We start from the raw sequence: 21019 nt of genomic DNA, 5'->3' as shown, positions 1-21019 counted from the left end.
ACCGGTCTCAAACTCCCAGGCTCAAGTGAGGCTCTCACCTCATCTTCCCAAAGTGCTGGGATTATAGGCCTGAGCCACTGTGCCCAGCCTAAGACATAAGATAATTAATGACCATGTGACCATGTAGTTTTTATTAAAGTGGCATTCTCATGTCTCCTGGTTCCCCTTTACCCAAACCCATACAAATTAACTGCAAAACCTGTCTTCGGGTTTTTAAGCTGATTGATTTTCTGTGTGGAGTTCTCTGCCACGACCTGATAGAATATTGGAAATTATTTAAGATAGTAATTTGAGAATAACTAATAATAAACCCTTCTCACTGATGGCATTGACAGTAATTAGGCCACTGAGCCAATTGTGTCTTGAGACTAGTCCTAGTTGCATTATCAAGAGCAACTTTCTATTCACAACAGCCACGAAATATTCATTGAATTCTTCTAAAAGCAGCGTCATATCATGCACATGTATTTTATAGGAAAGTTAAAAAACAACTTTCACATCGTCAAAATAATTGCCAATCTGCCAGGCTCGTGCCTGCCAACTCTGGTTCTTATTGGATTTTTAAATGTGAATCATGTATCCATAACTGTGAGTCCACATTAATGTTCTGCCAGAGCCTGGCATCAGCCTCTGCATAGACAATCACAAGCCAATAGAGAGGGAATGGAAACAGCACTCTATTGATCTTGGCTTATTTATTCATAAACTAGGAAAGCAGTTGAACAGCTATGCGAGAAGCCTACTTTCTCTTCATGTAACACGTTGGCCTAAGAGATCTATAGAGCTTTTTAAAAACAAAGAAGGCAGCAAGATTTAAAATAATAAAACCAGTAAGTGTTACTTTTGTGATTTCCCTTGCTGATTTTCTTACAGTCCTCCCTAAAATTTTAATTATATATTTTATAACATTTAGTTATAATTATATTTATACTTGGTCCTTCTCTGAGTATTGTGTAAAGAGATTAGGTATTGTCTGAAACCAAAATTTATCAGAGAAGTGGCATCTTCAGAACCTAGCATGTTGGCGGTGGCAGTGTGACTGTGACAGACCCTCAAGGGAAGGTGAAACTCAAGGAAAAGTGTCATATTTGGATGCTTTTCAGGAGATTCTCAATGTAGTGCTAAAACCTTGAAAATTCTGTGTTTGCTTTCTCTTAAAAAGAAAAAATTATTTATTTAGGCAATAGGTATTTTTAAAAGTGAGAGAAACTATCAGAGAGCTGTAGCAGAAAAGCAAGTTAAAAATAAAGGAAACAGAAAAGGAACTGATACAGCTGATTTGATACTGGAAAAATCACCCAGGAGGCAGCGTGGACAATGGATTGGAGAAGGGCGAACATTCAGTCAGAGACTTTGTGAGTAAGTTACATTTGCATGAAGTCAATGATAGTGGGGGTGGAAAGGATGGATTGGATTAGAGGGACTTTAAGGAGGTATCAATCATTGCTACCTGGGACAGGAGGAGGAAATTTTGGTGAGATGACCAGTTCATGTTAAAGAAAAGTTTGAATTGCCTACGGCAAATCCTTGTGAAAATATTTACTTAATGGGCAATTGTAGATGTGCTCAGATATCTCTGTCTCATATATACATAAGACAGATTGTGGTGTCATTAACATAGGTAAACGGAGTGATCAACATATTTCCCAAGAAAAAGATAAACTATAAATGGTCTGCTAGAATTGACAAGATTAATTGTTGATGACAATAACTGGAGACCTTGGTAAATGATACAGCAATTTCATGCTTAGAGGAAAAATTCAATTTCAGAGTTGAAGAGTAAATTATAAGTGAGGAATTGGAGACAACAAATTGAAGCCATGTTTTTAGAAAATTTGGTGGAAAAGGGAGACTGACAGAAAAGTAGGATCAACAGGGGGTTGGTTGATTCAGAAACCTTACATGTATTTATAGACTGAAGGGAAAAATCATAGAGAAGGTATGTTTGAAGAGAGAAGAGAAAAAGAATAAAATATCAGGTGATATTTGAGATAAAAAGAAACGGCATTCAAGCTCACGAGCGTACATGAAGCTTGGACAGGAGGGTAGATGCCTCCCTTAGTGTGGGAGAGCTAAAAGACAAAAATGGGAAGGGATGCCAGGAAGAGTTTTCAGAGATGAGAAAAGGGGCAGAAAGTCAATGCTATTACACAAAGGTCAAGATTCTTTAAAATAAATTTTTAACTTGTATTATTGAAATTATACATATTTATAGTAAAAATATTTTAATACAGAACATTTTAAAAGAAAAATACAACATTCTGGATACAAATAGAATTGCCCCTTCCCCTTGCCTCCTCTTGCAAGTGGGCCCACATTGGAATGTTTTATAATCTTTCATGCACTGGGAAGGTCACAAATATCACTAATATGCTTTAGGTTTCAGCTCAGTCATTTCTATCTTCCTTTTATCCTGAACTGTTTACGCTAACTCCCCAATGTTTGTCAAATAGTCATCATCCACATCACTGAATTTTTCATATTTTCCAAACATTTCCCCTAAGTATTTTCTTTCACAGACTTGAGTTACATTGAAAGCAAGAGCCACATTCCACTCATCTTCAGAATTCCACAACACAAATTCAGAGCTTTAGACATTGTAGACCAGCATTGTAAAACAGAATCTTCTGTGATGATCGAAATGCTTCTCTATGCTATCTAGTACAGCAGCTACTAGCTACTGTGGTTATCACCCATTTGAAAGGTGAAACTCAAGAACTGAACTCTTAATTAAAATTAAAATGTGGACTGGACCTACTGAATCGAACAGCACATTTGTACACAATTAGTATAGTGGTTCAAAGAATTACTTTTTAGTTGGCTTTTTGGATGGTTGTATTTTTATTCCTTTTTAAAATATATATCTGTTTTTCAAGGCTTACTGTAAATTAGAGGGAGCAAATTGGAGGAGAAATGACAAAAGAAACAGAAAAAATGTTTAATCAGACAAAGGAACTAAAAAACCTCAGTCTTAATTAGAAGATGGTCAAACAAATCTCTTAACTGATGTTCACAATGATGGTTTCAAGTCATCTAAGGAATGGGTGAGTACCAGGGAACTTGTGTAATTTCAATCAAATTTAATTTTTACAACAATCCCAAGAAATATATCATTATCCCTACATCACAGACTAAAACAAAATAAACAAAAACAAATAAAACCTTTGAGACTCAGAACTATTTTAGCAACTTTCCCAAAAGCTGCTAAAAGGTAAAACTAGAATCCTGATCCATCAATGCCAAGCCCTATTTTTGCTCTCAGCATGATGCTCGAATTATATTCATCACACCATACTCTAAAAACACACACACATTCATACACAATATTTTAGAAAAAACTTCTATAAAATATTTAAAATATAAGCAAATCCTTATAGTGAGTAAAGGTATAAATTCTTAACTCATTAGAAAATATTTATCTTCCAAATGACTTATGGCCTAATGATTCTGGACAGACAAGATACCTTTTTTATTTTCATAAGTCAACACAGCTATACTAATTTTAAAACCCTAAAAATTTTCTTATATGGCATGCATTACATTGTTTAAATATATTATTTCCCCAAATAAATTTGCTACATTTTCTTTTCTAGGAGAAAATACAACTGGTGAATTGCAAAGATATTAAGAAATTTTTTTCATGACCTCCAAAGAATAAAATTATAAAACTTATTCTTACCTTTTTGTTTCCTGTAAACGTGTGGTATATTCCCCTTGTCCCTCACGACAAACTTCTCTATGATTTCCTCAATGGTTAAGGCCCCAAATGATACATTAAAAAATATACATTTGTTTTATATTTTCAAAGTATTCTTAATCTTTAATTAGGAACTACACTGAAACTCTGTTGTCAATGCCCCTACGAAGACTGAAAGAGATGTGATGGTTTTAAGACTGGTGCCTATGGTCAAAAGAATATACTGACTGCTTCCAAATGTCTATAAATAAATTATGGTTTCTTAAAGGCCCATGAAATGAAACTTTATTTCTTGTCATTAGTTATCTAATTTCTTAAAGGTTATCTTTGTTAGGAATGGAATCAATTTAATGATTTAAATATTTTTCAAACATTTTATAACACATTTTTATACTAGAATTCTTGTTTGCTTTCAATTGCCTTTCTCATTCTTTTTACTTTCATTCCATGTTTTCCTTCTGAATTATAATTGTGTATTCTATTCTGGATGAAATACTCATATTTCTCTAAAATGTGGCTAGTAAACAAAACCATGTAAGAGTGTACATAAGAGGGAACCTCAGATCTCTTTCATCTGTGATTTTTAAAGTTATCCTTGGCTTTACTAAACCATGGGTTGCTATGGCTGTTGTCATTGCAGTTAAATATAGACTCTAATTTAGATAATCATAGGATAAAACCCAAAGTGACGTACTGTTTCAAATAAAACACTGATACCCCTTCATATACACAATGGTGGGAGAGACATACTGTATTTAACATTCAACCAGTTGTCTGGGTATTGAACTCTGTTATTTCAGTAGTCAGTATAAACACAACCAGAGAGAAGCAAATCAGAAGGAAAACAACAAAGAGAAGCAAATCAGAAGGAAAACAACAAAAATTTCTGCATTTTGTTTCCTCAAGCAAAAAGGCCTTATTAGGAAAAAACAAAACACTTTTACTAAATGCACCATATTACTAAATCCAACATATTCAGGAATGTGTATTGTGGCATTTATCTGAGAGAATCACGTGGTTGGATTTTACATCTTTTATCCCAGCCCAACAGGTTTGATTCAATTCACACTTATTGAATGTTGTTTTTAGATAAAAGATGTGTGTAAATGATTCATTTTAATAAGGTGTTCTATATACTACTATAGGCCTCATTCTTTCTTCAGTGATAAAGAATAAAAAAAAAAATAGTGAGAGAGTCCAAAACACCATGATCTTAAAGCAATCTTTTTCAGATGGAAAAACCTCTAGGTGACTGCCCACACCACCTGGTAACTCCATATTGACAGACAACACCATAATTAGGAGTAAACAACTCATATAAAACTACAGTTTACATAGGCTTTATCATTGCAATTATATTAGGCAGCATTTTTATAGTAGGTGTTAACTAAAGGATTGGAAAAGTAAGGTGTTGGGTATAATTCCAAATAACTGACCAAAGGCAAAATCTAACCTTTATCTTTTCACAAAACAGCTTTCTGGCCCACTAGGTATTCAGCCTCTAGGTAATCTTATACTGAGTCATTACCACCTCCCATTCACCACGTGCTCTTAATTAAGCCTGGGGAATACACGAGTGTGAATTCAAAGCAACTCAACTGATGGTATTCGGTACCCAACTATAGACTGTAGGTGCACTAAAATATAAACGCATAGTGGATGGTGTAGGTCCCCTAACCAGAACCCCCTTACCTGCTTGTGCATTTCTCTCCCAGCTCCTTTGAGATTTGACTGTTAGTGTCCAGCAGCTAGCTCCGACTTCCTTGAAAAAACTGCCCTTTAATGAATATTGACTGGCACAGGGGTACCAAAGGCTGCCTCCTTGCTTTTGGATGGACTAACCCCGTGATGGACTAACCCCGTGGTGCAATTTGTGCTCCTGAGTGTCTCCATGCAATCAGAGTTAAGAGCGTCTCCAGCTGAGACCACACTCTCAATCAGCACTTTTTCTTTCTCCTTTCCTGTTTTTCTCACCTCTGTGGATCTGAGATCACGTTCCAAATAAATCACGTTTACTAAATCCTGTTTTCCGTGTATTTGAGTCAGTTTCCTTATCTTTAAAGTGGAAATAATATCCCATACTCCAATGTATAGTGGCAGTGTTTTATTTAGAAAATGGAAGAGTTGAAAAAATGTTATTTCTCTTGTCCACTCTTTAACTCTGAGCTTTCTAACAGAAAAAAGAAAAACATTTCTAAACAAATCTATCAATGAGTCAGAATTCTTTTTCCTTTCCTTTTCTTCTTTTCTTTTTCATTTCCAGATTGAAATCAACGAAGAGTTTTTTGTTTGTTTGTTTGTTTGTTTACTGTGAATGAATCTTTTCTTTCTTTTTTTTTTTTGAAACGGAGTCTCGCTCTGCCATCCAGGCTGGTGTGCAGTGGCGCGATCTCGGCTCACTGCAAGCTCCGCCTCCCAGGTTCACGCCATTCTCCTGCCTCAGACTCCCGAGTAGCTGGGACAACAGGTGCCCGCCACCATGCCCGGCTAATTTTTTGTATTTTTAGTAGAGACGGGGTTTCACCGTGTTAGCCAGGATGGTCTCCATCTCCTGACCTCGTGATCCACTCCCCTCGGCCTCCCAAAGTGCTGGGATTACAGGCGTGAACCACCGCGCCCGGCCGTGAATGAATCCTGATAATGTGATTACCAGTGTTTTAAATAGTTTTACTCAAAATATTTTTCTTTTAATTGGAGCATTCCATGGCTGTCATTTGTGTCTAGACTGAACAATCCCTAGACAGGTACCATGTCTGTTGGAATCACCTTTGCATCCTTAGTGTCCTTTTCAGTATCTGGGATAGAGTCAGCATAATATGAATATGTGTTGACTCAATGGTAGTTCCACTTAAGGCATCAGAACCATTTGGGAGTGGCCGGGTGCAGTGGCTCACACCTGTAATCCCAGCACATTGGGAGGCTGAGGCAGGAGGATCACCTGAGGTCAGGAGTTTAATACCAACCTGGCCAACATGGTGAAAACTTGTCTGTACTAAAATACAAAAATTACCCAGGCATGGTGGCTGGCACCTGTAATCCCAGCTACCAGGGAGACTGAAGTAGGAGAATCGCTTGAATCTGGGAAGCAGAGGATGCAGTGAGCCGAGATCACACCATTGCACTCCAGTCTGGGGTAACACAGTGAGACTCCGTCTCCAAAAAAAAAAAAAAAAAAGAACCATATGGGAGTGGCAGTGTGGGCTCCAAAATCCAACAGAAACATAAGTCTCTCCATCTTTTAGGAGTTATGTAAATTTGTTGCTTACTTTCTTCAAACTTCATTTTCCTAATCTTTAAAATTGATGTAATAGTATTCATCTCATAGACTATATGGGAATCTAATGGAATAATGTACTTAGCATAGTAAGTACTAGATAAATATCAGCTATTGCACTGAAATAGTGTTATTATAATCTGAAATTTAGACTCCCTATATAAATAGTTGATCATCTGAAGATAGTTCTCAGAGTTACATAGAAGAAAGTTTTATAAGACTTACCAAAGTACAATCCATAGCAAATTAATGGTAAGTTAAAGGATAGCCTAAAACCAGGATTTATACCACATTGTCTGATTATCAAAGAGACATAATAAGATTCAATAATAAGAAAAGAATCAACTTCTTAGCAGAGGAGTTTATTAAAGGACAGATTAAAATTTGACCAATACAGAAATAAATGTCAGTTTTAGCCATCGTTCTGTGTACAATTGTTTAACTGAAATAGTAACATTTTCTCGGTGGAAATTTACCTCATGCTTTTAATGACAATTTCTTTCTCTCTCTTCCTCTTTTTTTTTTTTTTTTTTGAGACCGAGTTTTGCTCTTGTCGCCCAGGCCAGAGTGCAACAGCCCGATCTCAGTTCATTGCAACCTCTGCCTCCCGAGTTCAAGAGATTCTCCAGCCTCAGCCTCCTGAATAGCTGGGATTACAGGTGTGGGCCACCACGGCCGGCTAATTTTTGTATTTTTAGGAGAGAAGGGGTTTCACCACATTGGCCAGGCTGGTCTCAAACTCCTGACCTCAGGTGATCCACCTGCCTAGGCCTCCCAAAGTGCTGGTATTACAGGCATGAGCCACAGTGCCTGGCCTTCTTTTTTTTTTTTTCCTTTGTTTGTTTGTTTGTTTTTAAGATGGGATCTCACTCTGTCACCCAGGCTGGAGTGCAGTGGTACAATCACGGCTTACTGCAGCCATGACTTCCTGGGTTCCAGTGATCCTCCCACTTTGGCCTCTTGAAGTGCCCAGATTATAGACATGATCCATTGTGCCTGGCTAACAATTTCTTAAATAAATCTAAAGAGAACTTACACAAGATATTTGAATTTAGTACTTGGATATTAACCATATTTTAAGGTATAAGTGCATAACTGAAGTTAACTTTTGACAATGGCAAAAAAAAAAACAAATAAAACATAAAAACTATATTGAACTAATGAAATAGAGTAACCAGGAGAAAAGAAAAAACACCAACCAATCAACAAACAAACAAAAACATTACCTGGAAAGCTGCTGCGGATCATAGAAGCTATTATTGATATTGTGGAATAATCAGATATAATGTTAGGCATTCTTCATAAAATTTCTGGCTATTTTTATGTATTTATATTTTTAAAACTTATGGTTTTTTAAAAATAATTTCAACTTTAATTTTAAATTCAGGGTGTACATGTGCAGGTTTCTTACCTGAGTATATTGCGTGATGCTGAGTTTTGAGGTGTGAGTGATACTATCATCACAGTACTGAGCAGAGTACTTAATAGTTTTTCAGTCCTTGGCTCCCTCACTCTCTCCCTGCTCTAGTAATCTACGGTTTCTGTTGTTGCCGTCTTTATGTCCATGAGTACCCAATGTTTATCTCCCACTTATAAACGAGAACATGTAGTCCTTGGTTTTCTGTTCCTATGTTAATTTGTTTAGGATAATGGCCTCTAGCTGCATCCATGTTGCTACAGAGGATATGATTTCATTCTTTTTTATGGCTGCATAGTATTCCATAGTGTGTATATATCACATTTATCCAATCCACCATTGATGGGCACCAAGGTTGATTCCATGTCTTTGCTACTGTGAATAGTACTGCATTTAATGTGTGCATGCATATTTTTGGTAGAAAAATTTATTTTCTTTTGGATATATACCCAGTAATGGGATTGCTGGCTCAAATACTAGATCTGTTTTGAGTTATTTGAAAAATCTCCAAACTGCTTTCCACAGTGGCTAAACTAATTTACATTCCCTCCAACAGTTGTTCTCTTTTCTTCACAATCTCACCAGTATCTATTTTTTTGACTTTTCAGTAATAGCCATTCTGACTGGTATGACATGGTATCTCATTGTGGCTTTGATTCACATTTCTCTGATAATGTTGAGCATTTTTTCAAATGTTTGTTGGCTGCTTGTATGTCTTTTGAGAAATGTCTGTTCATGTTTTTTGTCCATTTTTAAATGGGGTTATTTGTTTTTTGCTTGTGCAATTGTTTAAGTTCTTTACTGATTCTGGATATTAGACTTTTGTAAGATTTGTATTTGCTAATATTTTATTCCATTCTGTAAGTTGTCCATTTACTCTGTTGACAGTTTCTTTTGCTGTGCAGAAGCTCTTTAGTTTAATTAGGTCCCACTTGTCAATTTTTTTGTTGTTGATGTCATTGTTTTTGAGGACTTAGTCATAAATTCTTTCCCAAGGCCAATGTCCAGAATGGTGTTTCCTAGCTTTTCTTCTAGGATTCTTATAGTTTGAGATCTTATATTGAAATCTTCAATCCATCCAGTTGATTTTTATACCTAGTGAAAAATAGGGATCTAGTTTCATTCTTCTGCATATGGCTAGCCCGCTATCCCAGCACCATTTATTGATCAGGAAATATTTTCCCAATTGCTTGTTTTTGTCAACTTTCTTGAAGATCACATGGCTGCAGGTGTGCAGCATTACTTCTGAGTGCTCTATTCAGTTCCATTGGTCTCTGTGTCTGTTTTTGTACCAGTACCTTGCTGTTTTGGTTACTATAGCTTTATAGTATAGTTTGAAATCTGGTAATGTAATGCATCTGGCTTTGTTCTTTTTGTTTAGGAATGCTTTGGCTATTTGGGTTCTTTTTTGGTTCCATATGAATTTTAGAATAGTTTTTTCTAGATCCATGAAAAATGAAATTGGTAGCTTGACAGGAATAGCATTGAATCTGTAGATTGCTTTGGGCAGTATATCTTGGCATTTTTTAATGGACATTACAAATATATCCCTTTGGGTCTCCTAGATCTGTCTTATATAGACTTATCTAACCCAAAAGCTATATTTGTACTTCTCATCTGCTTAGTATAAAGATCTTCATTTAGACATGTATTAATGTCACAATGTATTAAAGTTGAAATTTTAAGAAATGAATAAATTTTCTGTATCTTATATCAAACCATTGTTGAATACTCTTTAATCATTATTCAATATTCTCCATAAAAGCATAATTTCCTCTCAGATACTATTATCCAGAAAATACTATATTCTCCTAATGAACTAATATGTTCCCTTTTATCAAAAAATATACTATATAACCCATCATACCCCAAAAGCAGTAAGGTAAAGGAAAAAAATATATTGACTTTATAGTGAGACTCATATTTCTATTCCTATAGCAATGTGACCTCCCTGAGTCTCAGTTCCCTCAAAATCCAACTGGGTAAACTCCATTAGGTTTCAAGGTCTGTGAATAATCCTCTATGGCTCCTGGCTCCACCCTCTGGGCCTGAGGTTCTGAAAGGGACAAAGAGAGGATGGATACAAAATGAAAGAAGGCTGTTGAAGTCTCCAAATTTTACGGGTAGAAAATAGGCTGATACAACCACATGGTAATGTAAATTCCTTCAGCTACTGTGGAAAGCGATTTGGCGATTTCTCGCAGAACTGTAAACAGAGCTATCACTTGACCTAGCAGTTCCATTACTGGGTGTATATCCAAAAGAAAATAAATTGTTCTACCAAAAAGACTCATGCACCCAGATGTTCGTTACAGCATTGTTCACTCAAAGACATGGAATCAACCTAAGTGCCTATCAGCAATGGATTGGATAAAGAAAATGTGGTACATATACACCAGAGAAGAAAAAGGAAGAATGTCTCAAAGACTGGTGTCTTAGGTCCAGAATGCACACAACAGATACTTAACAAAAAAAATATAAGAATGACAAGCACATGAAAGATATTCCATATTATTTGTCACTAGGGAAATGCAAATTAAAACCACAGTGCTATATGTCTAGATAACCACCAAAAAGGCTATAAACAAAAAGTCATATAACAAGAGTTGATAAAAATACTAAGAAATTTGAACTCTCACACAATGTTTGTGTGAACGTAAAATGAAACTTTGAAAATAGTTTGTAAGTTTCTAATAAATTTAAACTTACATTTATCATACAACCACAGTTCCACTCCTAGATATTTACCCAAGAGATACGAAAACCTATGTTCTCCTAGAGAGATTTGTACTCAATAATATTCAAAGTAGTTGTATTCATAATAGCCAAAAACTGGACAATAACATAATGGCCAAAAAGATGTCTATCAACTGAAATGTAAAAACAAAGTTGGTATATCCATTAAAAATATTACTCAGCAACACAAAAGAATGAAATACTAATAAAACAACATGGGTGAATCTCTAAATTATTATATAAGAAGCCATACATAAAGAAATATGTGCTCTAGGAATCAATTTTATGAATTCTAGAAAAGGTAAACCTATTATAAGATACAGAAATCTGTGTTTGTCAGGGGAAAGGGTTTGAGGCCAGGAAATGAAAGGCAAAGGACTTTTTGGAGTGAGAGAAATGTTTCATAATTCAGGAGTGTCCAATCTTTTGGTTTCCCTGGGCCACATTGGAAGAAGAAAAATTGTCTTGGGCTACACATAAAATATATAACACTAATAACAGTTGATGAACTAAAAAAAAAATCACAAAAAAAATCTCATGTTATGAATTTGTGTAGGGCCTCATTCAAAGCCATCCTGGGCTGTGGGTTAGACAAGCTTGTTTTGTATCATGATTGTCATGGTGTTTATTTGACTGTATGTTTGTCCTAACTCATGAAATTGTAATTCTTAAAACTGGTGAATATTGTTGCATATAAATCATACTTCCATGATTAAAAAATCAAATTGACAGCAAAAAAATTAGTGCAATTATTGGGATAGTAACACTCTCACTAGATTGCATTCTGATTTTCTTTCTTAGAGGGAGGAAAGAAATGAGTTGTAGCTAGAACACTCAGAATTGCCCCCCCAAAATCTAGATAGGCCCATAGTAGTATCTACCTCACTTGACTATTATTGGTTTAGTGTTTCCTCTATTGAAAGTGAGGTGGTGGAAAAGGTGAATGTACAATTGAGGAAGAGAGACCAATCAGAGTTATTGTGATAGTTAAGTGAGAGATTATGAGGATCTTATTCAGGATAATAATAGTTTGAATGGGAATATGCGTTTTGATTAAAAAAATATATTAATGATTTTCATGATTATGAGCTTGCTTTCCTATGCAGGCATTCACCCTTGGCATATATCCTGCAAAGTCATTCTTTTCTGAGTCATATGGCCCAAATGACATATTTTAAGACACTTATAATAGTTACATTAAATTTTAAAATGGGCTTTGAGTCAGAGTGACACAAAAAGCCAATATCACCAGCAGTCAGTGAAAATTAACATATTGCTGACACTTGGTCCTGTATTATTCTATTTCTGTTCCACTCGCTTTGTAAAAAAAAAAAAAAATTAAGAATAAGATTTTTTTTTAGAGTAGTAGAACTCACTTTTTTCAGGGCAAAATGACATATAATCAACTTTAACATTTCATTCTCTTCACCAGAGCAAGTAACAGTGATCCAAATTGGGAAATTGGAATGAAAGGAAACTTTAAGAAGGGTTTTAATAAAAGACTTCCAGGAAAAAATCCAAGCAGTTAAACAGAAGTATCCAAAAAATATGGTCTCTTTAACGCCATTACAGGGGTGGCTTTACAGATTTCCAATGCCCAAAAGTCTACCAAGATTTACTCTGTTCCAATTCAAATAACACTCATTCTTCATCAAAGAAAAGCAAAGAGAAACACAAAATGCTTAGTAAATTTGTGGGCAATCTGTTTGCTATTCTGAAAGAAAAGTAAATATTTGTAGCATTTATAAAGCATGCTATAGAATCCTGTAACTGAAAAAAAAAAAAGACTCTGAATGGCATCTTTTTCTAACTGCATAAACAGCTGGCTCTTGGATGGATGTTTGGCTGAAACATTTTACCATCCTGGACACCATGCTTACTTTAAATGATTCCAGGAATTTGCAGAATGTGGAGATAACATCTGTTACCAAGGTATGTGGAACACATCTACTCCAATTGCTCTTCCAATAAGGGAATCATGCAAGTTTTTTAGATCAGCAGAAAAACACAGTTTTGAAAATTGGATGACATGATCTGGGACTACAGGTGTGCACCACCATACCCAGCTAATATTTTAGTTTTTTTTCAAGACTGGGTCTCACTTTCTTGCCCAGGCTAGTCACTGATTTCTTAATTTCAGTCATTTTGTATTTTTTTAAATCTAGAATTTCCATTTGGTTCTTTTTTAATGGTATCAAATTCTTTGCCAGAAAGCTCACTGTTGACTTCAATTACTTGAACAAAAAATTATTTTGTAAATTCATTTATTATATTTCTAATATTTGCACTAACTGAATCATTGACTATTCTGCGTCTACCCACTATTTTTTCAAGTATCTTTTGATACAATTATTTTATCTTTTCTTTAGACATGTTATTTATTTTTGACTGAGAATAAGGAATTGTATTCCACACATGGAAACCATGTAAGAGCAGGGAAATAGTAAATATTTTTAAACACATAAAAGGAAAAATATACAGCAAATTTGGATTTATCCTATTACACTTAGTCACTATTTTACAACATTTACACAGGTCAAGTTTTTAGATGGCTTCCGTGAGTTCACAGGCTCACTAGAAAGCCCACAAAGACTTCTGAAACTCAGGGCCAGCAGGAAGGTAAGGTGAGTAGAGACCAAGAAGAGACTCCCTCACAGGTGAAAAGTATTGGACAGTTGCAGTCCAGGATCAAAGAAGCTGCAAGTTTGTTGTTAGAGAGGGCAATCAAAAAGTTCAAGTCTAAAAGTAGACTACTGTTATCACTAGAAAAAATTGGGAAGCATTTGTAGGTAGAGGTTAAAGAGATTGAAAAATTGCTGATGACAAGGGCAACTAGAAAGTTCAAGTCTCAATAGCTTCACAAATCACCCCCATGGAGTTAGGTCCGGCAATCAAGGAACAGAATCAAGAATTCCAAGGTATTATCCCTTTCATATGTGTATTTCAATTCTGATCATTTATCATGCACTAATTGAGCCATCAGTATTTATCACCTTGACCATAGCAATCGCATTTTAATTTACTGGTCTCTGTGCATCCACTTTTGTCCTGCTGCAGCTTATTGTTCTTAAAGCAGAAAGGCCTTTTAAAATGTAGGAATGATCATGTCATATCCTGGCTCAAAAACCATTCAATGACTTCCCATAACAATTATAATAAAATGTAAACTCTTCATCATAGCCTGCAAGGATCCTACAGAACCTGGCCCTTGCCTACCTCACCCATTCTGCCTGTCATCCAACATTCTCTAGCCACACTGGCCTCCTCAGTTCATGAGGGTTTATTATTTTATTTTTCTTAATAATACTTACGTGTTAGACCGTTCTTGCAATGCTGTAAGGAATTACCTGATACTGGGTAATTTATAAGAAAAGAGGTTTAATTGGCTCACTGTTCTGCAGACTGTACAGAAGTATAGTGGTATCCACTTCTGGGGAGGCCTGAGGAAGCTTCTAATCATGGCAGAAGTTGAAGCTGGTATGTAAAATGCAAAAGCAGGAGCAAGAGAGAGAGAGAGAGAAAGGTGAGGGGAGATGCCACACACCTATCTCTTGAGAACTCACTCACTATCCTGAAAACAGCACCAAGACATGAAGGATCCACCCCCATAATCTAAACACCTCCCACCAGGCCCCGCCTCCAGCATTAGGTATTACATTTCAACATCAATTTGGGTGGGGACAAATATCTAAATTAGGTCAACTTATGTCCACCAGAACTTGTGTAATAGATTTATTTGTTTCTTTCTCTTCCACTAAGATCTGTAAGAGCAGGCAATTTGTTGAGTCTATTGTTCTCTCCAAGAAAATAAAAGATTGACTGGAAAAAAGGAAGTGCTCAGCACGTCTTCGTAAAATTAATTACTGAATTAGAAGATGAGAGGTACATGAATACAAGGAGGAAAAGCTGAAGGATGCTGGTCAGATACTAAACACCTTCATATCAGTTAAGTTCAGAGAACTGGAGGGAAATAGAAGTGAAAGAGAGTCCAGTAGCTGTTACTGAGCTAGGGAATCAGGATTTCATTCCAATTCTAAGCTAGGGGATAGACCCAAGAATATAGATACACTTCCTTTATTGGCCTTAGTTCCTAAGGACTAGAGGAAGACTTGGGTCCCCAGGTTGTCAGGGTGAGCTTGGGGTTAGGGTAGGGGGAAATATCAATAAATTTAGCTGTGAGGTCTACTGAAGACAGAAGCAGGTGAGAAAGAACTGTTAGCAGAAGCCTAATAGTTGTGAAAGAAGCCAATTCTTCCTGATTTTCCCAGCATTCTCCTCTCTCATAAGAATCATAGAGGTTTATTCATGACAAAGAACTTTATTCATGACAAAGAGGCACTTCCAATAGTTTGTTCACGCCCAGAAAATAAAAATAGGCCCAAGGGAGAATAGACATATTATGTTCTGGAAATGGTTGTGCTACACAATGAATAGTTGAAACCACAGGCTGGGGCTGCATAGTGAATCCAATCAGTTGAACAGGAACGTGGTCTCTTTCTTCACAGTAACAGGAGAAATGGTTGAAAAAATGTATTACTACTCAAAACATACACATAATTAATATTTCAGCCTAGCTTTGCCTCCAGGTTTTTTAGCTATTCTCAAGGAGTAAGAGTGGTTACTAGTTATAAAAGGGTTATGATTTCTGTGTTTAAAAAAGTAGTACCTGGTGTGTGACCATTGGAAATGATCTAGGCGTTAAGAGTCACTCATATGCAAAGCCAAATTTTAAAAAAAAGGTTAGAAACCTGCTTACAATCTTTTCTGACTTCAAACTGCATCATAAAACTAGTCAAGCTTAACTCACTGACGTGCATGCCCATTTATGAAGGCAGTGGGGCTTGGGATCATTTTTCTTTACCCTATCAAAATCATGATTTATAATCTGACTCTTTGTTAAAAATGTTAACAGTAAAAATATACTTCACTCATTGCTTTATATATTATTTCTATAGAGCTTAAGATACGAGAAATACAGTGTCCCATGATAACAAGCAAGTTGTCCACCATAAATAATAAAAATTAAATCATAAATACAGGTGACTTTTAAGAAGAAAGAATGAAAGGAGGGAGAGAGGGAGGGAAGGAAGCAGGGGAAACAGATATAATTATGGGCTAAATAAATAAATACTATGGGTTCTGCTATTTTTCCTTTCTATGAACATTTTTCAGAAGTCTAACCTTATTCAAAATTTCTCATAGTTTAGAAGCACAGGTACAGAAGAAAGATATGAGGAAACGGCAGGAAAAGTAAAACTAGGAAACACTGGAGTATTTAATGAAGATTAGGGGAGAACATAGAGACGGTGTTTTACTTTCCTCCAATCTCCCCAGTATTACCTCATAATCCTTTTCAAAGACTAATGTTTGGTTTTGTTTCAGTTCTCTGTTTTTGTTGCTTTTCTATATTTTATTTATCTTTTCAGTTTTTATTATATAATTTATTATTGTTGTTGTTTATGTTATTTATTTCTTATTTTTATGTTCATTTTCCAGCTTCTTATGTAGAATTCTTGGTTTATTTGTTCTTTCCTTTACTTGTTTAGAAAAAAATATAAATTTATTTAAAAATGTATAAAACAGTAAATTTCTCTCTAAGTAGTACTTTAGCTTTGTCTTTCAAATTTTGACAAGTAGTGCCTTAAGTATTACAAATAGTGTAAATTAAATTAAATGATTTAAATGAATTATAATATTTATTGATCCCCTTTATTATTTTAAGCACAGTGGTTATTTAAAATTATGCTATTTAGTTTCCAAATAGATTGAATGTTTGGCTACTTTTTTTTTTTTTTGAGATGGAGTCTCGCTGTGTCACCCAGGCTTGAGTGCAGTGGTGCCATCTCCACTCACTGCAACCTCCAACTCCCGGGTTCAAGCGATTCTCCTGTGTCAGCCTCCCGAGTAGCTGGGACTACAGGCACGCACCACAACACCCGGCTAATTTTTGTATTTTTAGTAGAGAGGGGGTTTCACTATGTTGGCCAAGCTGGTCTTGAACTCCTGACCTGGTGACCCGCCCATCACATTCAGACTCCCAAAGTGCTGGGATTACAGGCATGAGCCACCGTGCCCGCCCAACGTCTAGGTTTTTAATTTATAAGTTTACTACACTAAATTAAAGAACATAAAGTCAAAATTTCTATTCCATGGAATTAATTGAAATTTTTATTGTAATACTTTTTCTCTTCTCTTTCTAGGGTTTTTTTTTTAAATGAGATGAAACTCAAATAGCATACTATTAAGCATTTTGAAATGTATAATTCAGTGGCATTTAGCCCATTCACAGTGTTGTGCAAGACCATGGCTCTCCAGTTTCAAAACCTTTCTTCATCCCAGAACAATACTCTGTATCCATTAAAAACCCTCAACTCTCCTCCCATCCCCTGGCAACTACTAATCTGCTTGCTGTCTCTATGAATTTATCTGTTCTGGGTATTTCATATAAAAGGAATGGCTTTCATGCATGGCTTCTTTTCCTTAGCATGTTTTTGTGGTTCATCCAAGTTTTAGCAGCCATCGGTGCTTCATTACCTTTTATGAATGAATAATATTCTATAGCATGTATGGACCACAATTTATCCATTCACCTCTCAGTGGACATCTCAATCATTTTTCTACCTTTTGGCTATTATGAATAATGTATGAAAGTTTCTGTGTGGACATATCATTTTATTCCTCCTAGGCATACACTTAAAACGAAATTGCAGGGTCATATGGTAATTATATATGTTAACTTTTTGAGGCACCACCAAATCGTTTTCCCCAGTGGCTGCATCATTTTACATCCCCACCCATGTACAAGAGTTCTACATTCTCCACAACACTTGCCATATTTGGCTGTTTAATTATAGCCATCACAGTGGGTATGAAGTGATATCTCACTGTAGTATTGATTTGCATATCCTTAATTACCATTTACGTTGAACATCATTTCCTGTGCTCATTGCCCATTTGTACATTTTCTTTGAAAAAAATGTATATTTATGTCCTTTACCCATTTTTTTATTGGATTGTTCATCTTTTTCTTCTTGACTTGTTTTCTTTAGGTTGGTACAAAAGTAGTTGCAGTTTTGCCATTACTTTTAGTGGCAAAAACTGGAATAACTTTTGCACCAACCTAATATATATTCTCCATACTAAATTCTTATCAGATATATGATTTACAAATATTTTCTCTGATTCTGTGAGTTGTCTTTTCACTTTCTTGATGAGGTCCTTTGGTGCACAAACATTTTTAATTTTTATGAGGTCAAATTCATCTATTTATTCTTTATTGCTTGTGATTTTGGTGTCAAACCTAAAAACCCATTGCCAAATCCGAGGTCATCAAGATTTACCCTTGTGTTTTCTTCTAATGATTTTATAGTTTTAACTCTTATATTTAGGTTGATCCATTTTGAGTTAATTTTTATATATGGAGTAAAGGAAGAGTTCAAATGTATTATTTTGCATGTGGTTATCCAGTTGTTCCAGCACCATTTGTTAAAGAGACTATTTTTTTCTCACTGAAGAGCTTGGCACCATTGTCAAAAGTTACTTGGCCATAGATGTTTGGGTTTATTTCAGGACTCTTAATTCTGTTCTGTTCATCTATACGTCTATCTTTTTGCCAGTACCACACCGTTATGGTTACTGTAGCTTTGCAGTTAGTTTTGACATTAGAAAGTATGAGTCCTCCAAAGTTCTTTTCCTTTCTCAATAGTTTTTGGCTATTTAGAGGCCCTTGTAATTCCATATGAATTTTAAGGTTAGCTTTTCCATTTTTGGAAAAAAGGAGGCCACTGGAATTTTAATAGGTATTGTATTATGTCTGTAGATGACTTTGAAAAGAATTGCATCTCAACATTATTAAGACTTTCAATCCATGAACATGGGGCATCTTTCCCTGACATTATTTCCTAATGAACTATTTTAGTAAATATTCAGTGTATGCTTAAAGTATATTCTGTTTTAGTATGGAATATATAATATACATAATAACTCAAACCTTTAATTGAACAGATTTTTAGTATCTCCACTTTATTTTTTGTCTATTTTATTCTATCTCTTCCTGAGAAGCATATGTTGATATCTTCAACCTTAATTGTTGGTTTATCTCTTGACATTCTCATCAGTTGCTTTATATAATTTGAGGCCATATTGTTGAGTGAACATATGTTCACATTGATTATATATCTTTGTTCATTATTTTTTATCTTTATTATTATATATAAAACACCCCTTTTTAGTAAAGTAATGTAGAATAGTACATAAATGAAATCACAGTCTTTAAAGCCAGACACCCAGAGTCCAAATTGCCATTCTTTCACTTTCTTTTGAAATTAACCTCATTTTTATGAGTAACTTGTTTTTTCTGCCTACGGTTAATCCACCTTAACTTTTCATGTATCAAGTTGTTTTTCATATATCAAGTGTGATCTTGGCAGCTTATTTAACTTCTGAATTTCTTCCTTTTTTAAAAAAAAGAGATAAGTTCTTACTCTGTCGCCAAGCTCACTGTAACCTCAAACCCCTGGGCTCAAGTGATCCTCCCACATCAACCTCCCAAGTACCTAAGACTACAGGCATGCACCACTACATCTGGCTAATTAAAAAAAAATTGTAGAATCAGGGTCTCACTATGTTGCCAAGCTAGTCTTAAATGCCTGGCCTCAAACCATCCTCCTGCCTCGACCCTCCAAAGCACTGAGATTACAGGTGTGAGCCACCACACCAGGCCTGAAATATCAATACTGCCATCTCAAAATTATTGCAAGAATTAAATAAGGCATCATAGATACAAGGTTTATTATGGTAGTTATGGAGTACTACTATCTCTACTAACCTAATCTCTTCACCTGAAATACTCTTACTTACTCATGGTGTTACTATAACTCATGTTCTCAACTCATTTTCAGGATAGCTCCTCTCCTCCAGAATAACTGAGGAGCCTGAATAATTGACTCTATCATTTGAAACCTATATCCTGAACATGTTTCAGTAATAATTCTGTGACCATAATTCTGTGTCTCGTTCTCCTTTCAAGACTGAATGATAGGTAAGGAAAAGTCTGTATCTTCTATATATATGTGGCAATTAGCCTCATTTTTATGAGTAACTTGTTTTTTCTGCTTACAGTTAACCTACCTTTACTTTTCATATATCAGGTTTTTTTCATATATCAAGTGTGATCTTGGCAGCTTCTTTATCTTCTGAATTTCTTGCCTTTTTTTTCAAGATATATACATTTATATGTATCAAATATATATATTCAATATATATTGAGATATATATAGAAAGCTTAATATGATATCTAGCAATTTTTATGGGCATGCATTTCTGTAGAATTAATAAATAAATGATATGATTGGTCTACAATAGCACCGTCCATAAAATTTCTGCAATAATGAATGTATTTTATGTCTGTGCTGCCCAATATTATAGTAAATAGCCACATTTGGCTATTAACCACTTGAAATGTGGTTAGTGTGAATGAAGAACTGAATGTTAATATTTTTCATTTTTGATTAATTTTAATTTTAATCACCACATCTGGCCTAAGGTTACTATTTCATATAACACATATCTTCCATATTTATGTTGTAAGTCATGTAGTTCAGTAAACTCTCCATTAGCTTCGCATCTCATTCAGAGTAAAAGCCAGAGTCCTCATAGTGACATAAAAGGACCTACACATTAGGGTTCTGTCATCTACACTTTCTCTCTGACCTCTCCCCTGCTGCTCCATCACAGCCACAATGGCTTCCTTGCTGTCACACTCTCACCTCCAGATCTCTCCTCAGTTCTTCCCTTGCTCAAAAATTCTTCCTCTAGGTATCTCTAGGATTCCCTCCCTCAGTTTCTTCAGGTCTTTACTTAAGTGATAGCTTCTGAATAAAGTCTTGAGATCATG

The 21019-nt window shown here is 35.4% G+C and overlaps 1 long non-coding RNA gene across 1 annotated transcript; it reads left to right on the top strand.

Moving 5' to 3' along the window:
* Nucleotides 1-731: 731 nt before the first annotated feature.
* Nucleotides 732-3654, top strand: LOC101927269 (uncharacterized). Its single transcript, NR_110075.1, has 4 exons — nucleotides 732-830; nucleotides 1181-1359; nucleotides 2877-3044; nucleotides 3594-3654. It is a non-coding gene; the product is annotated as an uncharacterized LOC101927269 (long non-coding RNA).
* Nucleotides 3655-21019: the final 17365 nt, after the last annotated feature.

This window comes from Homo sapiens, chromosome 7 (genome assembly GCF_000001405.40).
Source record: "Homo sapiens chromosome 7, GRCh38.p14 Primary Assembly".
Lineage (NCBI taxonomy): Eukaryota > Metazoa > Chordata > Mammalia > Primates > Hominidae > Homo > Homo sapiens.
This window is presented reverse-complemented; position numbering and strand designations above follow the sequence as displayed.